Below are 13042 nucleotides of genomic sequence, written 5' to 3'. Positions count from 1 at the left end.
GCAAGGGGCCTGTTTGGGAAGCCCCAGGCTTCCTGGATAGAAAGGGAGGAAGCAGGGTTAGAGGCCTACCTCGGAAAGAACCAGTGGTCTCACTCTAAGAGGTGGCATTGTGGGTGTGGACCTCCGGGGTTGAAGGACCTGTCACTCAATCAGGTGGGGTGCCAGACTCCTGGGGTTGGGTATTCTGTATGGTGTTTGTTACACACCAGGATCTTTGAGAGGACAAAATCAGTTTTCCCTGAGCAAGAAGGGCCTATCCTCACTCCCTGGTACCATGACAGGCACCTGAGAAGAAAACAAGACTTAGCTCAGTTTTCATTCCTTATCATGTGAGTCCCCGTTTAACCCTGAGCCAAGTCTGAGCCGCGTGCAGAGGGCTTCTGCTGCCAGAGGCGTGCTTGGAGTGGCCCTTCTGGGAGCTTGAGCCCACCTGTGCTCCTGAGTCTTGGGGTGGGTCACACTGTGAGCTGGTGTTCTGACTGTAAGTGTGAGCAGGCGTCTGTTTGAGTTCTAATCAGGGCTCATGGTAAACACACCCATACTCGCTGGAGCCTGGGCTCTCCCAGCCTCTGGGTAGTCTAGAGCAGCACTGTGCAATATGGTAGCCACCAGCCACATGCGGCTGTTTACATTAACATTAACCATTCAGCTCCTCAATCACATTGGCCTCATTTTAGGTACAAAATAGCCACCTGTACTAGTGGGCTAGTGGCCACTGAATTGAACAGTGTAGAGGACAACCCACCATCGCAGAAGTTCATTTGGACAATGCTGATCTAGAACGTTCCAGTGACAGCTTGTGGAATGTGGCTAGGTGTAATTCCAGCTTCTCCTGGAGGCTGCAGGCTAGCCCAGTGTGTGGCTCCTGAGAGAGAAGTAAGAGGCTTTGAGGCTTTAAGGCTCGACCCCAGCAGCATGCCGGCGCTGTTTCATGCTCCTCCTTGGCTCATCTTCAAACCGTCTCCTGTTTTGTAGTCCAACCCTGTGATGATTGATGCCAAAGAAGTGTCAGCTGCACACAGGGCCCGCTACTTCTGGGGTAACCTTCCCGGTATGAACAGGTTGGTGAAAGCTCCTGGGCCTGGGGGGCTGTGGGCTGGGACTGCAGGTGGGATGACCCATAGTGGGGAAGCCCCTGAGCCGGGCCCTCTCTGGCCGGCCTCTGCTGAATGACTAGCTGCTCTGCCATGTTCCTTATTTCCTTTTCCTTGAGGAGGAAGAGGAGTCAGGGTATAGAAAATACTCGTCTGAAACCAACAACTAGTGGTCTTAAAGCAGGACCTTTAAAAGTACTCTCTTTATACCAAAGAAGAGTCCTGTGCTGCTGAGTTAGGTAGTTGGTTTTCTGACATTGGTGATGTGTCCCGAGCCCTCTGGTTCTTAGATTCTCCTGAGGCAAAGCCATGGGGCATGGCTTTGGGGCTGGGAAGGGGAGTTGTGGCCACAGCCTGTTCCAGGAGAGGGAATCTTGCAGCGGCTGCATGCAAGTTCAGGGTTCTGCTTAACTTAATTTTACTAATCACACACTTTGTTGGCTTCAGGTCCTTTTTTGGAGAGATTTTCTTCAGTTAGGTTACACAGATAAAGATTTTAATATCTAGGAATGAAGAAAATTCATTTCATCAGTTATAAAACTGGCATTATAAAAAGGCTTTTTAGGCGAAATAAATTGTCCAGAGTTGGCAATTCAAAAGCATGCTGAGAGCCGCTCAGTCCCTGTCCATTGTGGAGGGAAGCGTTTTCCAGAGTGTTCTGAGTCATGGGTGTTAAACCTCCATGGTGGGCTGCTTGGTATACTTGGTATAACTAGGAGACATCATTTCACCTGGCCTCGGTCAAATAATCTCCCTCCTTGCTATTCCCATGAGGTTGTAGGACCTTCCCCATCTCATACATGTTTGGTAGAGTTGCTATCGAGGGCTTGTTGAGGGGAAGGAGATGGGGCATTGGGGCAGCTGGCCTGAAACTGTCCCCCGAGAGTTCCCAAGATACATGTGCATATTGGGAAATGGATGGGCTAATGAGGTCCAGTATTTTCATGGAACCACTCAGTGTCTCCCGACAGACCTTGGTCCTGTGGGATTTCTCGCCTGCTTCTTTCAACTCTAAAATACTAAACTCTGAGCTTCTAGGAGGAGCAGAGGTCCTGCATGCAGGGCCGACTGGGCAGTGCACGCATAAAGAGTCGGGGACATCTGTCGAGCACCTGATTTGACTGCAGGCCCCGTGGTTCCCACACTGAGATCCTGGAGCCAGTGCTCAGGGAAGCCTTCCTTAAATATCCTTACATGTCAGAAAAGGTCAGCGTTGAAGGGGACAGCCAGTCAGTTATGTGGCCTGCACCCTGAGAAGTGACATATTTAATGTCACAGAATTTTTGGTCTTTAGGGAACTGCAGAATTTAAGTCTGGTTTTTTTTTTTTTTGGAGACAGAGTCTTGCTCTGTCGCCCAGGCTGGAGTGCAGTGGTGCCATCCTGGCTCACTGCAGCCTCCGCCTCCCAGGTTCAAGCGATTCTCCTGCCTCAGCCTCCCGAGTAGCTGGGATTACAGGCACCTGCCACCACGTCTGGCTAATTTTTATATTAGTAGAGACCGGGTTTCACCATGTTGATCAGGATGGACTCAAACTCCTGACCTCAGGTGACCCGCCTGCCTCAGCCTTCCAAAGGGCTGGGATTGCAGGCATGAGCCACTGCGCCTGGCCCAGAATTTAGTCTTTTAAAGCAGTACATTTAAGGCTTGCGGTTTGATTAATTTCATCCAGTGGACACACCCGTGTAACAATCACCACAAATCAAGATACAGAACATTGTCACCCCCAAAGCTTGCTTCGCAGTGGGACGCTTAAAGCTCAGTGTATTTTAGACTAACTGATGTAAAGATAGCTGTGCTTTTTTTTTCTTTTTCTGCTAGGTGTTATCTGCCTGTTCACAATTTGAGACCACTTTTGAATTTACCTTTAAGGATTAACGCTTGGTGGATTTGTGTCTTTGCATGGCTGCAGTGTGTGTTCGTGTGTTTGCGGGGAGTTTGAAGAGAGTTATGACGTGTGTGCGTGATTTGGGGAAGGGGCTCTTACCCTGTGAACTAGTGGCTGCTGGGGGAGGGAGGGGAGTCGTGCAGCTGGGGCCCTTCCCGCTGTTATCCAGGTTTCTGTTGTTACAGTCTCTCTTCTGCCTCCTAGGCCGTTGGCATCCACTGTGAATGATAAGCTGGAGCTGCAGGAGTGTCTGGAGCATGGCAGGATAGCCAAGGTCAGCTCCAGCGTCTAGAACCTCTGCTGGGGGGCAGGGAGAAGGAAGGGCAGGATGAGGTGGAGCGGTGGCCAGGGCCTTGTCCCGCCTGCTTCTCCAGCTAGTGTGGAGAATGCAATTTAGGAGACGGTGCAGGGTCATGCAGCAGGGCAGCCAGAGGAGGGCCCAGGGCTGCTGGCCTTCAGCCCTTCCTCCCTGGTGAGTGTCGCCCATCACCCCCGGTAGACACTGAGGAGTCTTTACCAAGACCTGGTTGTGCTGTGGCTTTTTTTTCATTTTTAAATTTTTTGGCCAAAACCTATTACAAAAGCCCTCAAAGCAGCCTCCTGTGATGTGGAAGCTCCATTTCTCTCTGGAGCTGGAATCTCCCGGAGTGACTACCTGGGGCACTGGGTTCTGTGTCAGCAGGTTCCAGCATTCAGAACCACTGGCAGCTCCGAGGGCATCTTTGAGCCCCTCAGTAACTTGGCATCCTTTAGCCTACAAGTTACTCCATCTCTGAAAGAACTAATTCTTTGGAAGACTTGGAAAGTACAGTGGCTACAGCTTCTACTTCTAAAGTCTGTGGCTAGGCCGGGTGCGGTGGCTCACGCCTATAATCCCAATACTTTGGGAGGCCGAGGCAGGCGGATCACCTGAGGTCAGGAGTTTGAGACCAGCCTGGCCGACACGGTGAAACCCTGTCTGACTAAAAATATAAAAATTAGCCAGGCATGGTGGCGGGCGCCTGTAGTCCCAGCTACTCAGGAGTCTGAGGCATTAGAATCGCTTGAACCCGGGAGGTGGAGGTTACAGTGAGCTGAGATCGCACCACTGCAGTCCAGCCTGGGTGACAGAGCGAGACTCCGTCTCAAAAAAAAAAAAAAAAGTCTGTGGCTAGATGGATCTAAGATTGGCCAGGTGACCTCCAAGTAGGAAGAAAAGTGAGGCTGTGGGGTCTGTGGAGGCTCCTGCCCTGCGAACTCTGCTCACTCAGAGCCATACCCAGCCCCCTGGGTGGACCAGGCCCTGTCAGGGTTTGGCGAGTACCTGGCATATTTGGTAGACGCATGACCAGTGTTGGCTGGTGAATGAATTCGTGCTTATTCCTCTTTTCTCCTCTTCATCTAGTTCAGCAAAGTGAGGACCATTACTACGAGGTCAAACTCCATAAAGCAGGGCAAAGACCAGCATTTTCCTGTCTTCATGAATGAGAAAGAGGACATCTTATGGTGCACTGAAATGGAAAGGTACCCGGGTTGTGCTGGCATCTGGCTGCGGTGTGGCTGTTCTGATTGCTGTGCTTGCTGCGGGGGTCCTCTGCCTTTCCCACCTGACTTGTTTTCCACAAACGTCCTGGGAACAGTGGGTTTTATCAAGCATTTCCCAACATGGCAGACTCCTGGGGTGGACTCCTGACACCCCAGGCTCCTGGGTATTTTAAGGCTGGTCCCAAGTAAGAGGAGTCTAGGGGCCAGGAGCAGTGGCTCATGCCTATAATCCCAGCACTTTGGGAGGCCGAGGCGGGTGGATCACCTGAGGTCAGGAGTTCGAGACCAGCCTGGCCAACATGGCGAAACCCCGTCTCTACTAAAAATACAAAAATTAGCTGGGTGTGGTGGCGGGTGCCTGTAGTCCCAGCTACTCAGGAGGCTGAGACAGGAGAATCGCTTGAACCTGGGAGGTGGAGGTTGCAGTGAGCCGAGATTGCGCCACTGTGCTCCAGCCTGTGCAACAGAGAGATTCCATCTCAAAGGGAAAAAAAAAAAAAAGAGGAGTCTAGGAAATCCCCTGCTGCCTTGTCTCCCAGAGACCCTGCTGATCCCCCAGGGAACCACTGCAGTGACAGGACCTTAACTTGTGGTGCCAATTTTATAGGTCTTTTGTAAACCAAGCCAGCATAGGGCCAGGCAGACCTCGCAGCCTCAACACCCTGATTTGATGCAAATGGGACTTTCGGGGCTGGATGACCTTCTTGTTCTCTGAGTGTAACTAGGATTTAGCCAGACAAAGAGACCATTTACACAAACAACCAGAGCAAACAGGAAATCCTTCAGCTTCTGAAGTCAGGCAGGAGTTCGGCTCCTTTTTCGCCTTCCCTGCTCTTGATGGGGAGGATGCTAGGGCTACGTGTTCGTTACATGCAGACTCCAGGTGTACGTTGCCGAGCTAACCCTGCAGGAGAGGAGAACTAGAGAGTGTGTCCTGGAGGTATTTCTGAGGGATTGTTCAAAATTACTCTTATTTCTGCTGGGTTGTGAAACTCTAGGCAGTGATGACCTTACTACCTTTAAGGTCACAGAAACCAGCACAGTGCCTGGCACATGGTTGGTGATCTGAGTGCCGGGTTGTTTATAAAGGACAGAAGATTCGGCAGAACTAAGCAGGCGTCAGAGGAGTTGGTGGGTGTGAGTGCCCCTGTCCCTGCACTTCGGGTGGCTGCTGGTCCTCCGGGTCCTGCTGTGTGGTTAGACGGCTTCCGGGCAGCCTGGTCTGGCCAGCACTCACCCTGCCCTCTCTGCCTTTTCTCCCCCAGGGTATTTGGTTTCCCAGTCCACTATACTGACGTCTCCAACATGAGCCGCTTGGCGAGGCAGAGACTGCTGGGCCGGTCATGGAGCGTGCCAGTCATCCGCCACCTCTTCGCTCCGCTGAAGGAGTATTTTGCGTGTGTGTAAGGGACATGGGGGCAAACTGAGGTAGCGACACAAAGTTAAACAAACAAACAAAAAACACAAAACATAATAAAACACCAAGAACATGAGGATGGAGAGAAGTATCAGCACCCAGAAGAGAAAAAGGAATTTAAAACAAAAACCACAGAGGCGGAAATACCGGAGGGCTTTGCCTTGCGAAAAGGGTTGGACATCATCTCCTGATTTTTCAATGTTATTCTTCAGTCCTATTTAAAAACAAAACCAAGCTCCCTTCCCTTCCTCCCCCTTCCCTTTTTTTTCGGTCAGACCTTTTATTTTCTACTCTTTTCAGAGGGGTTTTCTGTTTGTTTGGGTTTTGTTTCTTGCTGTGACTGAAACAAGAAGGTTATTGCAGCAAAAATCAGTAACAAAAAATAGTAACAATACCTTGCAGAGGAAAGGTGGGAGAGAGGAAAAAAGGAAATTCTATAGAAATCTATATATTGGGTTGTTTTTTTTTTTGTTTTTTGTTTTTTTTTTTTGGGTTTTTTTTTTTACTATATATCTTTTTTTTGTTGTCTCTAGCCTGATCAGATAGGAGCACAAGCAGGGGACGGAAAGAGAGAGACACTCAGGCGGCAGCATTCCCTCCCAGCCACTGAGCTGTCGTGCCAGCACCATTCCTGGTCACGCAAAACAGAACCCAGTTAGCAGCAGGGAGACGAGAACACCACACAAGACATTTTTCTACAGTATTTCAGGTGCCTACCACACAGGAAACCTTGAAGAAAATCAGTTTCTAGAAGCCGCTGTTACCTCTTGTTTACAGTTTATATATATATGATAGATATGAGATATATATATAAAAGGTACTGTTAACTACTGTACAACCCGACTTCATAATGGTGCTTTCAAACAGCGAGATGAGTAAAAACATCAGCTTCCACGTTGCCTTCTGCGCAAAGGGTTTCACCAAGGATGGAGAAAGGGAGACAGCTTGCAGATGGCGCGTTCTCACGGTGGGCTCTTCCCCTTGGTTTGTAACGAAGTGAAGGAGGAGAACTTGGGAGCCAGGTTCTCCCTGCCAAAAAGGGGGCTAGATGAGGTGGTCGGGCCCGTGGACAGCTGAGAGTGGGATTCATCCAGACTCATGCAATAACCCTTTGATTGTTTTCTAAAAGGAGACTCCCTCGGCAAGATGGCAGAGGGTACGGAGTCTTCAGGCCCAGTTTCTCACTTTAGCCAATTCGAGGGCTCCTTGTGGTGGGATCAGAACTAATCCAGAGTGTGGGAAAGTGACAGTCAAAACCCCACCTGGAGCAAATAAAAAAACATACAAAACGTACTGGTGCTTTCCTGTCTAAGTCGCCTTTTGTGTGTTCTTTTATGAGGCCCCCACCATCCACCCCTCTGTGCACAAGGCGGCTCCCGGCCCCTGGAATGTGATGTTTTTGGTCATCTCCAAAGGCTGCAGTTTTATACTGGGAGGCTGATGACACCTTTTATTATAATTATTCTTATGGTTCTGGTTATAATTATGTTTGTTTTAAGATTTTCTTTAAGAAAACAAAAACCCAACACCCTTCCCTTTAGGTTTCAAACCAAGGTGCGGGAGCAGGGTGCTTCTGAGTTAGCGGTGGCTCTGGTGCCCTGGCTCCCACCCCTCGGGCCAGGTGGGCCACTGGGCATGGTGACAGCTGGGCGGCCAGGGAGTCCCCAAGGTCTGCCTTCTGGGCTTGTCACTCTTCTCTTCTACTTCCCCTCCTCTTGAGTCGGGTGTGTCAGGGCTGGAGGGAGGACCGGCCGTCTCTCTCCTTGTGTGTGTGATTGGAGTGGTGTGTATTTCTTTTCTAGTACTTGGTCTGATGATAGCTGTGCTCTTACCTCGAGTCAGCAGCACCTGGAGCCCCAAGTGCTCAACACTTTGTTCTACTTCCTACAAGGCAGGCGGCCTGGCGTCAGTAGTAGGAAGGGATGGCATTGTTGGCTCCAGGGTGAGGGCCCGACGGGCAGGTGCTTGCCTGGGTAGATGGGGTGTAGATATGTGGCATATAGAGATATATATTTTATAATGGGAGGGGGGATGGCACCTCCTGGGACTGGTAGAGCTGGGAGGTGTGTCGGCAAGCACATGGCCCCAAGTCCACGTCCCTAGAAAGATGGGGCCTACAGTGATAGGCGCTCTATAAATACATAGATAGGGTCATGTTTAAGAAATATTATGGGGTGGGGAGTGGGGGAAGCAGGCTTAGTGTGCTGAGCCTCGGTCCCCACTGCAGACCTAAACCCCACACCAATCAGTCAATCTCACACGCATACACAGGAGCATATTTCTGTACTGATGCATAATGAATGCACTCACACACACACACACACGCCAGGGGGCTCCCAGCACTCTTCTCCCAGGGTTCAGGACTTTGTGGAGTCAGCCCGTGCAGCTATTTACCTCTGTTGCCCTGATTGCAGGTAGACTGTCAATCCCAGAAGTTGCTAGGTGCTGAGGCAGGAAAAGGAGGAGGTTTCTTTTAGCAGGTGCTCTCCTCTAGCAGGTAGTGTTCTATCTCTTTTGCCCCTGGTGATGTCAAAAGATTCTTCTGTTAGCAACCTGTGATACTGACCTGCAACTCTAGGCACCAGTCAAGTCAGCCCTCAACTCCCCCTACCTATTCTCCCCAACTGAAATCAAATTGACATCCAGGTCTGTCTTGGCCAGGGGGCTTCCATTGGGGAAAAAAAATGGGACAGTGAACCTCACCTATTGAATAAACCAAATTAGTAATTAGTGACAAAACCAAACCAAGGCTTTGGACCCCCTGCTCATTACTCAGGAGTAAATTCACACAGCTGGTGGCCGGTCTCACCCCTTTTTGGGGTGCTTGGTCCTGGACCCCAATCTACTGTCTCCTCGACAGATTGGTGTTTAAGATCATGCCCAGTTGCTTCCTGTCACCTCTTGACAGGTGGTGACTGGGCTGCTGTGGGGCTGGAGCAGCGAGGAAGGGAGCCTCTGCCCCCTCAGTGGAGTCCCTGTGCTAACTGTGGTGCTCACCCAGCTCCTCCTTGCTCCCGCGGGGCTCTGTCCTTCGGGCCTGGAGTCCACCAGCGCCACTCCAGGAGGGCTGGGGGAGGAGGGGCTGCCTCAGGCAGTCCAAGGTGCTCCCTCCCCCGCTGGCCAATGCTAAGGTCTTCCCGGCTCCCAGGGTCAGGACAGAGTCTTCTAAGGCTCAGGCTCTCCCAAGCCACTGCTTAGTGACAGTTAGCCTTTCCCAGCGGCCCAAGCTCCACCGGAACTGGGCCTGGTGCTCCAACCAAAGGGTTGGTGTTGGGACTTGGGAAGAGACTTGGTAGCCAAGGGCATGGCAAGCCTGGGGGATTCCTGTGGGCCGGCTTGCTCGAGGAGGGAGTGCTGGGCACAGAGGAGCCCTTATGGCTGACAGCTTGAGAGCACTTGTTCCTCCAGATCTAGCCACTTGACCAGGCCCTAGAATGGACCAGATGCCCCAGGGGTCATGGCCCCCCCCCCCCCCCCCTTGCAGGGACGAGAGTTAACAATCACCAGCTTTTCTTCCGGCCCAGCCTGTGTGCTTGGTCTCACAGTAGAATTTAGGAGAGTGTGGGGCTTTGGGATTGTGCCAACTTGGCCAAGCTGAGATATGCTTAATCCACCTCAACGCTGGGGCCTCTGGGGACAGGTATTGGGTCACCTTCCAAGGGGTGCTGAACTTCAGCAGGCTGTAGATAAGGCAGAGGTTAGAGGCAGTGGAGTGGGGGAACCAAGAAGGCCTAGGGAAAATTGCCAGGCATATTCCCTGTGGAATTTTCTTTCCGAAGAGTAGGCCCATTTCCCCCTTAGAAACAAGGGTTCTGGGGGCTGATGACAGCTTCCCCTGCAGGTGCCAGGTGGCGCATGATGCCAAAGAGATCCGTGGCTCTTGCCTGGGGGAGGTAGCCAGGTGCTCGTGCTGGGGACACAGTCCTTGGCCTCCTGCCTAAGCAGGAAGCTAGTTTCCAGCAGGCGGCTGGTACTAACCCCCCGCCCCACGGGAGCGACAGGCTGGTGCACCGGCAGACTGGGGGGCCGCAGGCGGGCACTAGCAGGGGTCTGCAGTCCATAGATGATGACATGAATCTGTTGCTGTCCTTTTGTCTCTAGGCCCCAGAGACTTCTTGCTATTGAACATCCTATTGGAAAGCAAACTTTCCAAGAGAGCACCCGGGACCTGTTAGCTTTTGAAACAGGCCTGGGTGTGATTGACTGGTAGAGATGCCTGTGTGATTTTTGGCGCATTGCAGGAGTGTGGATTGGGACAGGCACCCCAGCAGGAAGGAAGGCTGACACCAAAGGGGTCTCACAGGGCCCAGCTCCCCTTGCTTCCCGATAATTGGCCACCAGGCCATGGCGACTCTGGGGAAGCCTAGATGGGAACACCCACCTTCTCCAGCAGTAGAAGGAATATTTCAGCAGAGCCATCTGGGAGATGTTCTTATAGGAAAACTGCAGTCATTCATTTCATAGTTTTGCTTATATAAATAGAGTACATTTGGGAGGCAGTTTTGAATTCCTGTTGCTACTCTGCTTGGTGCGGAGTTGCAGTGGCCCCAAGTGTCTTTCAGAGCTGTTGCTTTTAGGATCCCCCTCAAGCTGTGGGTTAGGGCCAGGGCAGGGAGGGGGTGCTGCCTGGCACTGTGCCCTGAAGAGGGCTGCTTGCTTCCTTTGGTCGGGAGCACGGCAGAGCCAACATTCTGGTGGGAACCGAGTTTCTAGCCAGGCCCCTGTTTTGGTCCCGGGAGGTGAGTAATCTGAGTTTGTCATTGCGTATTCTCCACGCTGCCTGCTCTCAGTGCTGGAGACTAGAGAGCGACCCTGGAGTTGTCCTCTGGGAGTCCTGCCTGTTTGCCAGGGAGCAGCTGAAACCTCCCCGCTCCCAATCCCGGGGGTGGAAAAGGTGTAGTGGAGGAATGGTCTGGAGCTGGGATGGCCCTTCTGGCCATGCCCTGCTGAGCCAGGATTAAGGAAAGTGTCAGCCGCCTCCTTACCAGGCCCTGTGCTGGGGTCAGGAGGACCGGGAGGAGAGGGAAGGGGTGAGAGGATGGACTCTGCTGTTGTAGTGTGAGCTCTGGAATCTTTACGTTTTGGTAAAGGCAGGCCAGGGTCTTTGAGGATCGAGTTGGGGAACCTTGCCTCTGTGTTTCCGAGACCCAGCTAAGGTGGGCCTTTGGTGGGTGACCTGTCTCTGACCCGAGGCAGCAGAGTTTTGGGGGAGGGAGAAACAAGCAAGGAGCAGGGAGGACAAGGACACAAGATCCCTTTGCTGGTGGTGACTTACTCACTTCCCCCACCAGAGGGCCTGGGACTCCCGAAACTCCCGTAACTGGAAAGCTCCCTGGCTCAGCTCCACTGGGGGGTGAGGAGGGCGGCTCCCTCAGCCCCAGCCTAGCGGCCTCCAACCCTGTGCCTGAGAACATGAGCAGCGGTCTAAAGCATCCCCTAGTCCCATTTCACTTCACAGACCGATTTGGTTGCACAGCCCTAGAATTCAACAGACAACAAAAATGCTGAAATTCCTTAGAATACGCAGAGGGAGGAGGTGACTCACCAAGGTGCTAAAACATTTTATTAAAAATATATATTGTTAAATTAAGTCTGCTGTCTGGACAATGACTGTTTGTTTTGTTTTCTTGTAGTGGAGTTTAAAAGAGACTATTATTTTACTCTGATATATTATTATTAAAAAGGCATTTTAACTTTGTACTTGAAAACTAAATGAGCGATTTCATGTGTTTTAGCTGAGGCATTGAAGTAGCGGGTGCTTACTTATTTGTGGGAAATCATGTATTCATACTGAAGAATAAACTCCGTAGCTGATTTGGTAATAACTTTTACTGTTACAGACGATTTCGCTTTGACCCCGGTGGCAGAGCACTTTTACTCCACATTCCACGCAGCTAAATGCAGGACTTCCCAGACTCTTCCCTCCCCAGCCCTCTTTCCTTTCTCTTAAGTTCCTCTTTTCTCCTTTATTATTATTATTTTTTTTTCCTGGTTCCAGCATCCTTTCACCACTGTATTTTTTTTTTTTTTTTTTTTTTTTTTTTTTTTTTTTTTTTTTTTTTTTTTTTAGGGTTGCTTCTCTATTTATTGACAATAATAATGTACATTTCACAGTCTGGTTCTAGGACATTCAGGGAAGGGCGAGTGGGGGCCCGAGGGGTCCCTGCCCCACCCGCCTGGTGTCCTGTTGTATCTCTGTGTAAGTGATGCTCGTGACATAGCTGTTTATGAAATAATTAAAGAGGTCAATGCGTACAACAGATGTAGAAAGTCTGTCAGTTCCGCCTTCATCACATTTTTTTTTGTGCCCAGAAGAATATAATAAAGCTCCTTTCTAATGTACTTGTGCTGGAGAACACTTGAATAAATGGACTGTTTTTGTGCAAAAAGAAAAATGGAAAAGCACCGTAATAATGTCGTTTTGTCTTGCGTCTCCTTTCCCTGCCATGACTGTTCACAGCCTCCTCCAGGGGGCTCAAGTACCTAAGCGGGGAGGTGCTAGCGTCGGGCCCAGATGATGTAGGGCCTCCCTAAAAAACGTCACCTGTGTGAGCATCAAATTAGTAAATGGGAGCTGTCCCCTGGGTGCAGGAAAGAGTTTGGTTGACTGGAAGCTGAAAAATAAGTTATGGTGAGACAGGGTTGCTGGGAAAGCAAATTCAGCTCTGGGCTGAGCAACAGAAGTTTTCATACCAGAGCAGGGAGAAGAGCGCGCCTTATGCCAATGCCTTGGTCAGACACGGCGCGAGGAGGATTTTTGAACCTAGGTACTCAAACTCTAAACAGGGTTTTGGCAACAAGCGAGCATCCAGAGTGGTAGATGGTCGGGAATGTCAAGGGGCCCCAGAACAAATCGGGGCATTTGTCCTAGAAAAAGCAGGAATTGGTAGGCCAATGTTTGTAAACACGGACAGGGCGAGCCCAAAGGGCCGGGGTCTTTCCAGGTGTTCCACAGGCAGGTGGAATGGTGTGGGGGAAGCCAGTGTCAGCTCAGCATAAGGGGAGGGAGGTCCCTTTCCCTGCTCCAGCCAACAATGCAAGGGCCACCTTGAGTGCAGTGACAGCCACTCAGGGATACCCCCAGTTTTCCCTTCAGACCCCAAGTCTGAGTTCCTCTCAC

General features: G+C 51.0%; 1 protein-coding gene across 20 annotated transcripts in view, besides 1 other annotated feature; it reads left to right on the top strand.

Annotated features, from left to right (window-relative positions):
* Nucleotides 1-12317, top strand: part of DNMT3A (DNA methyltransferase 3 alpha) — a 114717-nt gene extending 102400 nt beyond the window's left edge. For 12 of the 20 annotated variants that reach the window (NM_022552.5, XM_005264175.6, XM_017003526.2 and 9 more), the window contains 4 exons: nt 976-1061; nt 3186-3255; nt 4366-4484; nt 5771-12317. In NM_022552.5, the coding sequence (NP_072046.2) occupies nt 976-1061; nt 3186-3255; nt 4366-4484; nt 5771-5912 (417 nt within the window). In that variant the 3' untranslated portion in view covers nt 5913-12317. The other 8 variants (NM_175629.2, NM_153759.3, NM_001320893.1 and 5 more) reach the window with 5 other exon arrangements.
* Nucleotides 9958-10688: an enhancer, noted in NCBI's record as "H3K27ac-H3K4me1 hESC enhancer chr2:25452372-25453102 (GRCh37/hg19 assembly coordinates)". NCBI's record gives its function as "activates a minimal SCP1, AML or CMV promoter by ChIP-STARR-seq in naive H9 embryonic stem cells {active_cell/tissue: H9 hESC(naive)}" and the evidence as "EXISTENCE:reporter gene assay evidence [ECO:0000049][PMID:30033119]".

This window comes from Homo sapiens, chromosome 2, assembly GCF_000001405.40.
Source record: "Homo sapiens chromosome 2, GRCh38.p14 Primary Assembly".
Classification (NCBI taxonomy): domain Eukaryota; kingdom Metazoa; phylum Chordata; class Mammalia; order Primates; family Hominidae; genus Homo; species Homo sapiens.
Note: the sequence above shows the minus strand (reverse complement) of the source record. Positions and strands in the feature narration are given on the sequence as shown.